This window comes from Homo sapiens, chromosome 17 (assembly GCF_000001405.40).
Source record: "Homo sapiens chromosome 17, GRCh38.p14 Primary Assembly".
NCBI lineage: Eukaryota > Metazoa > Chordata > Mammalia > Primates > Hominidae > Homo > Homo sapiens.
Window position 1 is genome coordinate 11,557,081 of NC_000017.11, and position 12,981 is coordinate 11,570,061.

The 12,981-nt window shown below is 46.8% G+C and overlaps 1 protein-coding gene across 3 annotated transcripts in view; it reads left to right on the forward strand.

Annotated features, from left to right (window-relative positions):
• The window catches only part of SHISA6 (shisa family member 6), a 322,851-nt gene extending 315,868 nt beyond the window's left edge, over positions 1–6,983 (forward strand). For all 3 annotated transcript variants that reach the window (NM_207386.4, NM_001173462.2, NM_001173461.2), the window contains one exon: positions 674–6,983. In NM_207386.4, the coding sequence (NP_997269.2) occupies positions 674–1,224 (551 nt within the window). In that variant the 3' untranslated portion in view covers positions 1,225–6,983. The remainder of the gene's footprint in view (positions 1–673) is intronic.
• Positions 6,984–12,981: the final 5,998 nt, after the last annotated feature.

Below are 12,981 nucleotides of genomic sequence, written 5' to 3' on the forward strand. Positions count from 1 at the left end.
TGTGTAGGCTGATTATGTGGCTGTGTGGGGACTGGAGGCCCATGTATTGGCTTTCTATGCGTTGCCTGTTACTACAGAGAAGGTGTTACGATGTTCCTAAGTTACCAGTTAAACATTTTCACAAGTGTTTCCTAGTCTGAGCATCTTACTTTATTCTAGCCGGAGGCTGGCTCTGGACCTCATCAGGAAGCTTCAAGAGCTGCTATTTGGATGTTTTAGTAAGACAGATAGTCATTCTGTTTCAGGACCATGGTGTGGTAGATACGGCCCAGGACCAGGCGGAGTTCAGGGACTTGGGCTTGCTATCAACTCTGCCCTGAACACACTGGGGATTCTGAGGAAGTCCCTTAACATATCCCTACTCAAGGTGGTCTATGTACCAGAGGCTTTTAGCATTACCTGGGAGCTTGTTAGAGATGCAAACTCTTGGGCCCACCCCAGACCCACTGAATTAGAATCTGCATTTAACAAGCCCCCAGAGAATGGTTTGCACATTCAATGGGAAAATACACCCTTCACCCGTCTGTCCTAATCCATAACTAAAGGAGTTTGACTGTATTATCCCTTAAGGTTGACAGGTCTGTGATGGAGCAGGAGCGGGGCAGGGTTCTATCTGAGTCCTGGCTGCAGGGTCACCCCAGTTGCCTTCTCTCACTCTGTCTCTCCCCTGCAGCCGACAAGGAGGCTGACGAGTATTACATGAGACGGCGGCACCTGCCCGACCTGGCTGCCCGCGGCACCCTCCCCCTCAATGTCATCCAGATGTCCCAACAGAAGCCGTTGCCAAGGGAACGACCCCGCCGGCCCATCCGGGCCATGTCCCAGGACAGGGTCCTGTCCCCGGATCGGGGCCTGCCAGATGAGTTCAGCATGCCCTACGACCGCATCCTGTCCGACGAGCAGCTGCTCTCCACGGAGCGCCTGCACTCCCAGGACCCGCTGCTGTCCCCGGAGCGGACGGCCTTTCCCGAGCAGTCGCTGTCCAGGGCCATCTCGCACACGGACGTCTTTGTGTCCACACCCGTGCTGGACCGCTACCGCATGAGCAAGATGCACTCTCATCCCAGTGCCTCCAATAACTCATACGCCACCCTGGGCCAGAGCCAGACGGCAGCCAAGCGTCATGCCTTTGCCTCACGCAGACACAACACGGTGGAGCAGCTGCACTACATCCCGGGCCACCACACCTGCTACACAGCCAGCAAGACCGAAGTGACCGTGTGACCGGCGGGGCAGGGCCGGGGCTGCTGGGCGTGGCAGAGCAGAGCGGGGGCCGGGAGGGGCCAGGAGCAGAGCTTCTAGCCTTGCCACTCTCCCTTCCCTTGTCCCCTCTGTAGGAAGTGGGGGTGGGCCACCTTTGCCCAAAAAGCCATACCCCCGGGGACACAGCCCCGATGGCCTGGTCCAATACACTTAGACCCAGGACCAAGAGCAATCGCTCTTGCTCCTCCAGAAGAATCAGTGGGGAGTGAGGAGGGGGCTAGGCCCCATTCTCACCCCCGACCACCTTCACCAACTCCCTTTCCGTCCCGCGCCTCCTTCTCCCCATCCGGGGGACTCAGCTGCAGGTTCTGTCAGCAGAGAGACCCTTGCTTGACTGTGGTCTGAAGCTGCCTGGGTTTGAAGGGGCCAGCGGGTCCAATCAGTGGGCTGACCGGATAGGCTACTCGGTCTCATTCATTCATCTAGAACCGCATCACAGAAATCTCCTAGTGCCTAAAAACTGCCTGCTCGCTCTCTCAGAGCCAGGGAGCTGCTGTGTCCATAAGCACAATAATGATTCTTTTCTTGCCTGCTGGAACTCTCTGGTCCCCACTGAGTGACCCTTCCTTTGCTGACCCCTGAGGGCCCAACCCTGGCCCTGTGCCCCTCCCCTCAACTCCAGGACCAGGAGGGGTTCCCTTCCTTCAGCTGCCTCCCCATTGGTGGGAACTCCACCCCCTTCCAGCTGACTGCCCGCCCATAAGGACCCTGGGCCTGTCCTTTCAGCGGGCTGTGCTCCTTCCCTGGCCCTGAGGATTTCACCCTTGAGTTTTCTGGGGTTTTGGCTGTAGCCTTCGCAGAGGGGAGTAGCAATGGGGTGCTGGCCCTCCCAGACACCCGATCATCTCCGCACTCCCTCCAGGCCTCTAGACCTGACCATGACTGCCACTCAGGCTGCCTTCTCCACCCCTGCTCTGCTCCCAGGAGGCACCTGCGGTGGCCAGAGAGCCAGGGTGGGGAGGGCCACTGTGATGTGCGGGGTCTCGGGCTCAACATTCGCATCCTGCAGGGCTCCACCTGTTCCCACATGCACCTCCGGCAGGACCTAGACAGAAGTTTCTAGAGAGCAGCTTTTCAGCCCCCAGACAAGGAGGATGAGAGGTGGTTGTCCTGCATCCTCTCCGCTCATCCTTCCTTCCCCATCTCTGTCTACCTGCTCAGTTCAGAGATCACTCCTACTGCCTGTGTCCCCTTCCCCCACATCCTCCCTGCAACTTTATTCCTCCTAGCTGATCCTTCAGATCCGTGCCTCCTCTGGATCAAAGGGACAAAGACCTATTAGCAAAAGCAAACAAAGGTCCTCCAGGCGACTGGCCTAGGGGCTAACTGGGCAGGTCCCCACAGCATCATCCCTTTGTGCAGGCACTGGGGTACCTGGTAGACCATGGTCCTCAGCTCTGTTGGGGGACCGCCACTGCCCGCCCACCTCAGCCTCTTCCCCGCCTCCAGCCTGGGGGTTGGCATGGTGTGACGGCCTCCTGGGGAGGTGACAGTGAATTCAGCAGCATCCGCTCCCCCAAGACCAGAGAGCCTGGTGGGGGAAAGAAGGGGTTCCCTCATTCTCAGGGCCAGGGCACCCGCTGGGTTGGGGCTGGGGGAATCAACTCCAGGCTATTGGGTGAAGGTGTGATCCTAAAAACAGTCAGATCCAACAGCAGTGCCCTTATAAATGGGGTTTTACCTGCCCTCAGTTCTGCACTCATGGCCCTTTAAAAAGGCGAGTGTAGAAGGAGAATTTATTGGTGTCAGCCCTGGAGATTTTTAATCTAACCAAGTCCACAAACCACAGAGAAAGCAATGGACTGTGTCCTTTCACTGATTTCAAGAGTTCCAAAGCTCTCATCTCCTTCTCCCCTCTGCAGGGTGTGCCTCCCAACAGGAACAGGAAACCATCACCCTGGATCTTAGGGGGATGGAGGCTGGGGGTTGTGAAAGCCACTGTCAGACCCCACACTGGGGATGCATTCCTGGAGTCGTGCGGCTGGAAGGCCAGGGACTACCCTCTCTGCTTTCCTCCCAACAGACACATAAACCTTCTTAAGGGCTGGTCCCCAGGGGTTTATAAGAGTTTGTTCCAGAAGGTGAGGCTAAGAGGGTTGGAAAGGAAGAAGTGAGTCTGAATAGAGCAGGTGGCTCCCAGCTGGGCCCCTGAGCCCAGCACCTTTGAATCGTCTAATCTGTGGCCATCCCTTGGAAGGCAGGATGCTGGTGGTGAGGGGAAAGGACCTGAGTGGCTGAGAATGCCCTTCCCAGGTGTCTACATGCAGGTATACACCAAACCAGAAAGCTGATCCCATCTCCAGTGTCAAAGCTTCTCAGCACCAAGTTCTCCAGCCCCCAGGGTGACACTTTTCCCCAGGGGTCCTCCCCAAGCCCTGTCTCTGACAGGGTTTCTGTCTCTCTCAGGGGTTGTTGATGAGTTGATTCCAAGACATTTCTCATCCCAGCCTTACCACTGTCTGGCTGAAAGGCTCTGATGTCAGTTGGGTTGGAAAATTCTACTGCAATGCTTACTTCTTTTCAAGGATTTCTTCTGCTTCACCTTTGGGTCTAGAAGCAAGGAATGAAGGGAGGGAGAGAGGGAGGGAGGGAGGGGAGGAGGGAAGAAAAAAGAAGTAGAGATAGGTCTACAGACTTGCTCCAATTCAGTCCCACATTTCAAAATCCAGAAAACTATGTCATAGCTGGGACAGAGAGGTATCCCATTTATTCAGCTGTCCCATCCATCTTCATGGAACAAGCAAAGCCACATCAATAGGCAAGTTCACGTAGCAGATAAAAGAGGCTTCTGGGGCTGGAACCTAGATGCCATGATTTCTAGCCCAACCAGGCTGGTGGCCTCTACCATACATAGAAGTACCATCCACCCTTACAGTAAAAGCCTCCCTCCTGCTCACAAAGGAAGCCTAAAGCCCAAGATTTCCCTCTCCTTGTTTTATTCATTTTTGCACATCTCTGTTGCTCTAACAGAAATGAACTGGAATCTGCACAGGTTCTCTCCTGCCCTGAAAGTTCTGCCTGGTTTCCTTGGCCTCTGATGGCATTGAAGCTTTCACAATCCCTCCTGCATCTCCACCTTCCCTGTCTTGCTCCAGGCTCCTGGCTCCATGCCTTCCTGTGTCAAAAAGGCTTTGCCAAGAATTACTTCACCTCCTAACCAGGCTTCTGCCCTCAGGGCTCCCCCAGTGTCTTGGGAGTGTCTTGGGCCACACGACTGCCTCTTAGAAAGTTCCAACCTTGCCCCCAATTCAAATTTCTCCTCCCCTCTTTCCACTCTCCCTCCCAGAAACTCCTGATTTCCAGAAAACCTCAGATTTCCAGGCCAGGTCACTCATTCCTTCCTCTCATCTCCCTCTTCCTCCATCTACCTTCCTCCATTCACCTTCCTCCATTCCTAATTTCTTTTCCCTGGTCTTGCTATAATCTCCAGCTCTAAAAATCAGAGCTCTCAATGAAAACAATGGAAGAATAAGACATTCTTTCGGTCTTCTGTTTGCCTCACTGGTGTATCCTTCATCTCCTGCCCCTGTGAGTTGATACCCCAGTGCACGGAGCCAAGGGCTTTTCCCCTCTGAGCTCTGGGAGGGAAGGGAATGGAGCTCTGGGTTTGAGATGTCATGGCCTGTGATAGTCAGTTTGGTTCCTGCCACTAGCAAGTCCCCTGAAGCTCCCAACCCAGCCTGATGTTAGCCCAGAAGCTCCTGCTCTGGCCAAAGACTCCTATCCTTGAGGGCTCTCAGCCACTGCTCCAACACACTTGCCCCCTTCCTGCTTGTGTATGTCACTTATCCTCCTTTGTCCACAAAGACTTGAGGGCCTCCTGAGTCTCCAAGCATGGAGGAATATCCATGCCAACATCCCTGCCATCAAACTCAATCCATTTTCTTCAGAGATACCTTGTCTGTCACCAGCCTCCAACTTCATATTCCTTCCACAGGCAACTGTGCACTTGACCCAAGGTAAAATGAAAGGGCTGCCAATCACTCGGACTCCAGAAGGTGCCTGCCCTGAGAAGAGCTGGCATGTTACCTCCCACATACATTTCCTGTCATCCTGTCCGAATCTGGGAAATTTTGCTCTGGAGTATTTTCAAGAAAGCGCATTGTGTTTTAATGAAGTATTTTTCAGGGTTCCAATGTTATTTTTTATAAATGCAGCATTTTAATGGCAGATTCAATATGAAGGACATGTCTTCCTGGGCTCTATATTTGATTTTGGAAGGCAGCATACTCTAGGAGAAAAAAAGCATAGGGCTGAGGCTCTGAAGACACAGCTTCCAGCCCTGGCTTTGTCTCCGAGGGGGAGTCATGTTCCCCACTCAGTGCCTCAGTTTCCCCATCTGTAAAATGAGGGGCTTTGACTAGATGAGCTCTGAAGTTTCATCCAGCTCTTACACTGTAGGGCTTTCATTCCCTGCCAGCACCTGCTCTCCCCGTTCCTCCCCACCTCCACTGAGCTGCACACATCCCACAATGCCTGCCCCACAGCGATGTCCTCAGATGTCCTGGACAGCCACCGCACTCCTCACTAGAGCCTGGGGTGGGCCTGATGGGCTCGGCCACCCAGGGATGCCCTCGTACCTGAAGTTTAAGGGCCTAACCATTCAATAGGTCACCAACTGTGTGCCATGGAAGCCCTCTTGTAAAGACACACCTAAACCATCCTAAGTGACTGTGGAATTCTGGGGAATTCTGAGTTTGGAGTTTCCATTTGGATACGGTCCTTATAGCTGGAGGGAGGCGGTTCCAATTTCAGAGAGGGAGCTGGCTGGAGAGAAAGGTCTGGAGGTTGGCCCATAAGGGCATGAAGTTTGTACTTGAGGGCAGCTGGGAAATTCATTTCAAGCTGCAGAGGAACGTGTTCACAGGCTGTTGTGTGGCAATGAATGTCATGATAACCCACTCTGGAATATGTGTCCTGAAGACCAAGTCTGGACACTGAGGCTCCATTCCAACTGGAGGAGGAGGCATCTCCATCTGGGCTGCTAGGAAGGGGCACTCATCCCATCCTAGTACCTTTGTAGCCCTTCGTCATGACACTACCGTCCTCCCGGTGAAGGCTTGTGAAGCAAGAATGGAGAGTCCAAGTTTGTGATATTCAAACCCATCTTGTAAATCAGCAAACACATTAACCTTCCATCAGTCAGAGAAATAATGTTGTGGCTGTGTGTTTCCTTAATGCTCTCCCTCCTGAGGGAGGAGAAGACCCTGCTCAACTTTGCTGCCCACCCTGCAGTGACCCCTGAATGCCACACCATGGGAGGACTCATTCATTGGCTTTGTAGTGGCAAATATTCCTCTAGTTCTATAACTCAACTAGACATTTTGTAGTAAAGAATTCTTGAAATTCTCTAATAAAAAGCAATTCTTACTGTAATATTTTTAGTTTGGGGACACAATTTCCTAAGGGGGGATTAATGAACATTTTTATGCATTAGCCCAATTTATGAATTCCATGTTTATTATATGGTAGTACTGATGAAAAGTACCTTTCTATCTGTATCTTTGCAGTTTCTTCGTTACTCATATGTAAGCCTCATGGTAAGCAGTGCTCTAGTAACTGCTTCTCTGTACAAATCTCATCGTTCTACTTACCTGTCAAAGCACATTCTACATGTACTGTAAACAGATACACTTTAGTAAGATTTAGTCTTAAGGATTTTTCCACTTTTGTCAGTAACAGATATTTATGGATTAAAAAATAAAGCCGTTTCAACATAACGTGTGTCTCTTTAAGTAGCCACATGCTGACTTTTACAGAGTCAAAACCAAAAGTAATTAAAAAGCAAGAAAGAATGTAGAAGGTCATTGGAGTTGGGGGCAGAAACAAAGATTAACTGCAAATAGGAGCTAGAGAACTTTGAGGGTGAAAAGAGTGTTTTAAAACTGGATTGTGCTGATGGTTGTACAACTGCATAAATTTACTAAAAATCACAAAAGTTTATACTTGCAATGGGTGACTGTTATGATATACCAATTAAACCACAATAATGCTTTCTACAATGGGTACTATGAGGAATGTGGGAAGACAAGCCTAGGACAAGTGTCAATGGACAAGGTATACTAATTCAAAGTAGAATTACTAGGTTGGTGCAAAAGTAATTGAGGTTTTTGCCATTAAAAGTTGAAATGGCTTTATTTTATAATTAAAAGTTTTTGCCATTAAAAGTAAAGGCAGAAACTTCAATTACTTTTGCACCGACCTAACAGAAGTTCTGCCTCCTTATCCATCCTCATTTAGCCCAGAACTATTTAATATTCTTGGACATTAGGTCTTAGTCTGGTCTTTGAGTTAGTTCTTGTAGTTACCATGGATAATTGGAGGACAGCCAGTTAAGTATCCAGGCCGTTTAACCCAGAGAATCAAATTGCACCATGAAAATTGATTTAGATTTGGAGTTTTGTTCAAGACTCTCTTTTTCTGGACATGTTTTTAATATTATTTCTTTGGCACATGTTCACTTTTGCTGTTAAAGTCATCTGTTTTCTGTTTCTGAATTTTCACCAGAACCTCAATACCAGTGGGCTCAGGTTCAGCAAACAAAGTTTTGCCAAATGGGACAGTTGTCTAAACACCCAACGTCAGCACCTCCACAGTTCCTAGAATCCACAGTCAGTCACACTCTCTTAGCAACTCCCCAACTCCCTTGTAAATAAAACTCTTCTCATTGAAGGCATTGGACTTATTTCCAAAAATCCTCTCATTTTCTCCTGTCATTGGCATTCATTACTTAGGACAAAGTTACAAACCTGTTTATTATTGTACATTATAACCCATAACCACACATACTCTGAAATGTATTTACTCATTACAACAATCACTATAGCAGTGCAATTACATCTAAGTTATAGTGTCTCTAACCTATTATGACTCATAGCTAGTACACACACACACACACACACATACATATATGACAAGTACAGGAAAGCTTCATTAATCTATATCCATTATTGGAAAGAACCCTCATCCTCCCCCCAAAAAAAACCCAAATTCTGAATTGGGGAATTTTTTTTAGCGAAGTGTAATTTAATTATAATGCTTAAACATACATATAATGACTAAATTAGACTAAAACATGTTCCCTAATAGAAACTCTCAGGAAATATTCCTTATTGAATATGTAAGAATAATATGTGACTAAAATTAAAACGGTCAAGAGGTATGGGTCAGAGAGCTCTCAATATGCTTAATGGTGCTTCTAAAATACTTTAAAAGACTATTTTCTTAAATAGGCTAAATATCTCCCTTTAAATATTCTTAACTTTAACAATTTGTTCAACTTTTTCTCTTTGGTCCTCAAAGGTAAACCTCCATTCAGACCCTGACCACAGCTGTCACTAATTCCAAATTCGTGAGATCTGAATAAATGAGGTTTTAATACACCATCATTAACAAGTCAAGGCCAACAAAAAACTCATGTTGGAAGCTGAGACTCTGGGAGTTTTGGACAGCTTTCCGCCTGCAGTGTCACTTTGAACACTAATTTTCTTCTTTCTCCTCTCTGGTTTAGCATGAGAATGAAGCTCAAAACTTCTAGGGAGTAGCAAGAAAGATTTCCTTCAAGGATCTAAGAAGACCTCGGACACTCACTATTTAGGCTACAAATGTTAGGAATGGAAAACCGAGAAAGGGTTTGGGAGCAGAGGCTGGAAAAGGGGTGCCTTGAAAGTACCAGAATAAGGGAATCAATGACTTTTATGTGCTGGATGTGTTGACCAATGTCATCTCTGGGCCTTGGTTTTCTCATCTGTAACCATCGGAGAATTTGATAGACTCAAGATCCTTCCAGTGTCTGATATTTTATCACTTAATTATCACAAAACAATACTCACATTGTATCTGGGCTTCTAGGTAGCTGAAAGGGCTTGTGAAACACCCATCCTGCTGTCTTCCTCAGCCCTGTCCATCTTAACTTTCCCATCCCTATCAAAACAGGATGCCGTTGAAGAGTACTGGACTGGAAGTGAGGAGACCTTGTTTCTTGTACTGGCTCTGCCAAAATTTTGTTATGTGATCTAGAAAAACTTATTTCTCCTCTTCAAATCTCAACATTATCATTTAAAACAAAATGAGTAGTCCAGACGAGGCAGTCTTTAAAATGCGTCTCAGCTTCTTTAGTCTTGGCTTTGGTGACTTTGCCAAGACTTGACAAGGAATTGGGGAGCTTAGCTGGTGTGGATCATGGCAGAAGGGTAGAGTGGATGTGGAGAAGGAGAAAACCCTTAGCTGGAGCCATCACGTATGAGGTAGTATCTTCCCAGTTGTCAGCATGGTCTACCCTTGTGTCAACAAATCGCTATAGAGGAAGCAAAAATATTGAATGAGAGGAAAAACAAGGTCCTCAGAAAACTGTCTCTTTTGTTTGACTTTTTTGTGATTTCCCAAAATCTACAAACTGCCTTTCAAAGAAATTTCAAATAATACATTTTCACAGAAAGTTCTCAGCAGTTCATTATTTTACAGTGTTTTGCCATTAGAAATAGAGCTCATATGTGTGTGCAGGACCAGCACTCTCTCCACAAAGAAGAGAGAATTTTTTTTTTTTTTTTGCCTCCAGCCTCTATCCAAGTTCTGGAGATGTGTGGCAAAGGTAGAATACTAAGGCTTTTGCCCTTATTCCCAAGTGTGTGTACCTTAATGCTTCTTTCCTGGAGCATTTAGAAGAGCTACTCTTACTGTTTCACCACGGCAATCATGGAGAAGATCTCCTCTGCTACATAAGGCAGGGGGTCCGTACATTGTCTTTATTTTAGACTTAGAGAAAACTAAAAACTGTCATCTAATCCAGTGCTACTCAAAGTGCGGTCGCTAGAGGAGAAACATCAGCATTTCCTGGGAGCTCATTGCAATGCAGATTCCCAGTGCCCACCCCAGACTTTCCTAATCAGAATCTCTGGGGGTAGGGCCCTGGAATTTGCATTTTAACAAGATCTTTAGGTGACTCTATGCACATTAATGCTTGAGAAGCATACCATTTTGCCTTTTTTTTTTTCCAGTTTTGAAATTTTATAACCCCATGACAAAAATAAAGACTTGGATCTCTGGGGATCAGAGTAGCCTTGGTCTATGTAGCCTGACGATTTTAGGCAACCAGCTTCAGTGACAAGATTAGAACAAAAATGGGTGTACAGAGGATTAAGCATTTAGGAAATGAGGAGAAAGCTGAGGTAGGGTGTATAAACTCAAAAAGTTTAATAGAAGGCCGGGCGCGGGTGGCTCACGCCTGTAATCCCAGCACTTTAGGAGGCCGAGGCGGGCGGATCATGAGGTCATGAGATGGAGACCATCCTGGCCAACATGATGAAACCCCATCTCTAATAAAAATACAAAAATTAGCCGGGTGTGGTGGCACATGCCTGTAGTCCCAGCTACTCGGGAGGCTGAGGCAGGAGAATCTCTTTACCCCAGGAGGCAGAGGTTGCAGTGAGCTGAGATCTCGCCACTGCATGCACTCCAGCCTGGGCAACAGAGTGAGACTCCATCTCAAAAAAAAAAAAAAAAAAGTTTAATAGAAGAAAAATTATGTGGCTATTGGACAGCATCATAAAGATGAATCTCTAAGGATTCCCCAAACCAGAGTGTCAAAATTTAAAGTCAATGGAGAACAAGGAAAGGATGGGAATACACAACAAGATCCATTTCCTCAGGCACAGCAGGAGGACAGAGTGGGCAGGGCTGCTCCAGTGCAGCTTCTCGGGAAGGCAAAATGGCGGCCACTATGAGAGATGAGGAGAAAGGGCTGCTCAGGGTGGTTTTCCTGGAGGGTCCCAATCTTCTTGGTAGTCTATGAGAGGGAGTCATTGAATCAGGCAGGATAAGGTGGATTCTGCTATGGTGATAAATAACTCCCAAACTCCTTAAGACACCAAAGGATTATTTTTCACTCCCACTCTGCTGTAGATCAGCGAGGACCTCTGTGGTACTTCCCCATCCTTACTCAAAAGCCCAGAAATAGGGAAGCAGCCTCTATCAGCAATGTTACCATCGTCCACGGCAGAGAAGAAAGAGAACTCTAGGGGGCCCCACAAGGACAATTAAATGGCAGCAGAGAGTGGCACATACCACTTCTACTCACATCTTCTTGTATGAATCTGGCCACACGGACCTACCCCACCAAAGGGGATCCAAGAAGTGTGATTCTACCTTACTGCAGGATAATGGAAAATATCCAGTGAGCAGCACCAATGACTACCATAGTCACCATGTTGAGTTTAGAGCAAAAGATTGGGAATTTATGATTGGGAAGGTCCCCTTCCCTATCACCATGATAAAACCATCAAAGTGTTCTTTTTTAAGGCAGGTGAAACATTTCTGCAGCCGACTTATTATATATGAAGCCAGTGGTTTCAGAGCATGTACACTGAACAACCTCTTTATGATAAGACATCTATGAAGTGTTGAGAAAGTATCCCATAAACAGATCATCTGTTCTTCAGTTCCAACCTCAGGGCTCCAGACAGGACAGTGGATATGAAATGCTAACAGTAGATTCTGTGGAATCGCATCAAGATATTCTCCTACAACATGTAACGATTTCACACTGTGGTGGTTTCTACCCACCCCCCTTTCCTTTTGCCATACTCTTTTCCTCACTACTCCAAACAACAGTCACCCTCCATCTACTCTGCTCTCAGGGAAAAGGTAGTTAGACACCAGAGGAAGAAGTCTTTGTTCAACCTTGACTTTCAAAATAGACTTTTTTTCAAGCCCACAGGGCAAAAATTGTCATGTAATTGCAAGAGCCTTATAGTAGAAAGAGAAAGTGTTTTCTCTGACAATGAAAGCTGACCTTTTAGTATCAATGAGCCAAGCTTGGAAAGCTTGAGTTTTTACAATAAGCCACAGAGTAGACAGCATATAGGATATGGTGGAAGAGCATGTCCTGCTATACAAGGCAAAGAGAAATATCCTCCTGCACTGGGGAAAAACCTCAAGTGGAATCAAAGAAGGCAGAAAGAAAGCAAGATATGTGAATCCCTGAGATGTCCTGATCACCCACTATGGGGTGGGCTGGTAGGGAAAGAGGGAGCGGGGAAAGTGGACAACTGAATCCTCCAGATAGATTGGAGAATCTGAGGGTAGAACACATTTCTGCCTGGCTTCCAGCCTAGATCTTAGGGAGGTAAATTCCTAATGAATGTTCCATGCCATCATGACAGTGATGGAAACATGGAAACAGCAGTGAGACAGGACTACTGTCTGTCAGGACAGAGAGACGGTCCTTCACTCAACCCCAGACTTCCAGAGCTCCTAAGTGATACCCAGAAGACAAGTACCCTGGCTAGGAATTTAAAGGCTATCTCCAAAGACTGCATATCTCAGAGCTCACAACAGCAGAAGACCACCATTACAGAGAAATGAAATGAAGTACAAATCTACATATTTGAGTTACAGCCATAAAGTGTAAAACAGGCACATCAATATCCTAAGACCCAAAGTCTTTCAAGAGTGGTTCTCAAACCTTTTGGTCTCGGGATGTCTTTACACCCTTAAAAGTTATTGAGGACCACAAAGAGCTTCACTTGTGTGGGACTTAACAAAATACAATTATCATACTCAAAATTAAAATAGAGAATTTAAAATGTATGTATTAATTTATTTTACATTAAGAACAGTAAATCTATGATGTGCTAACATAAATAACATATGATTATGGGAAATAACTATATTTTCCAAAAAAAAGAATTAGTAAAAAGAGTGGAATTGTTTTACATTTTT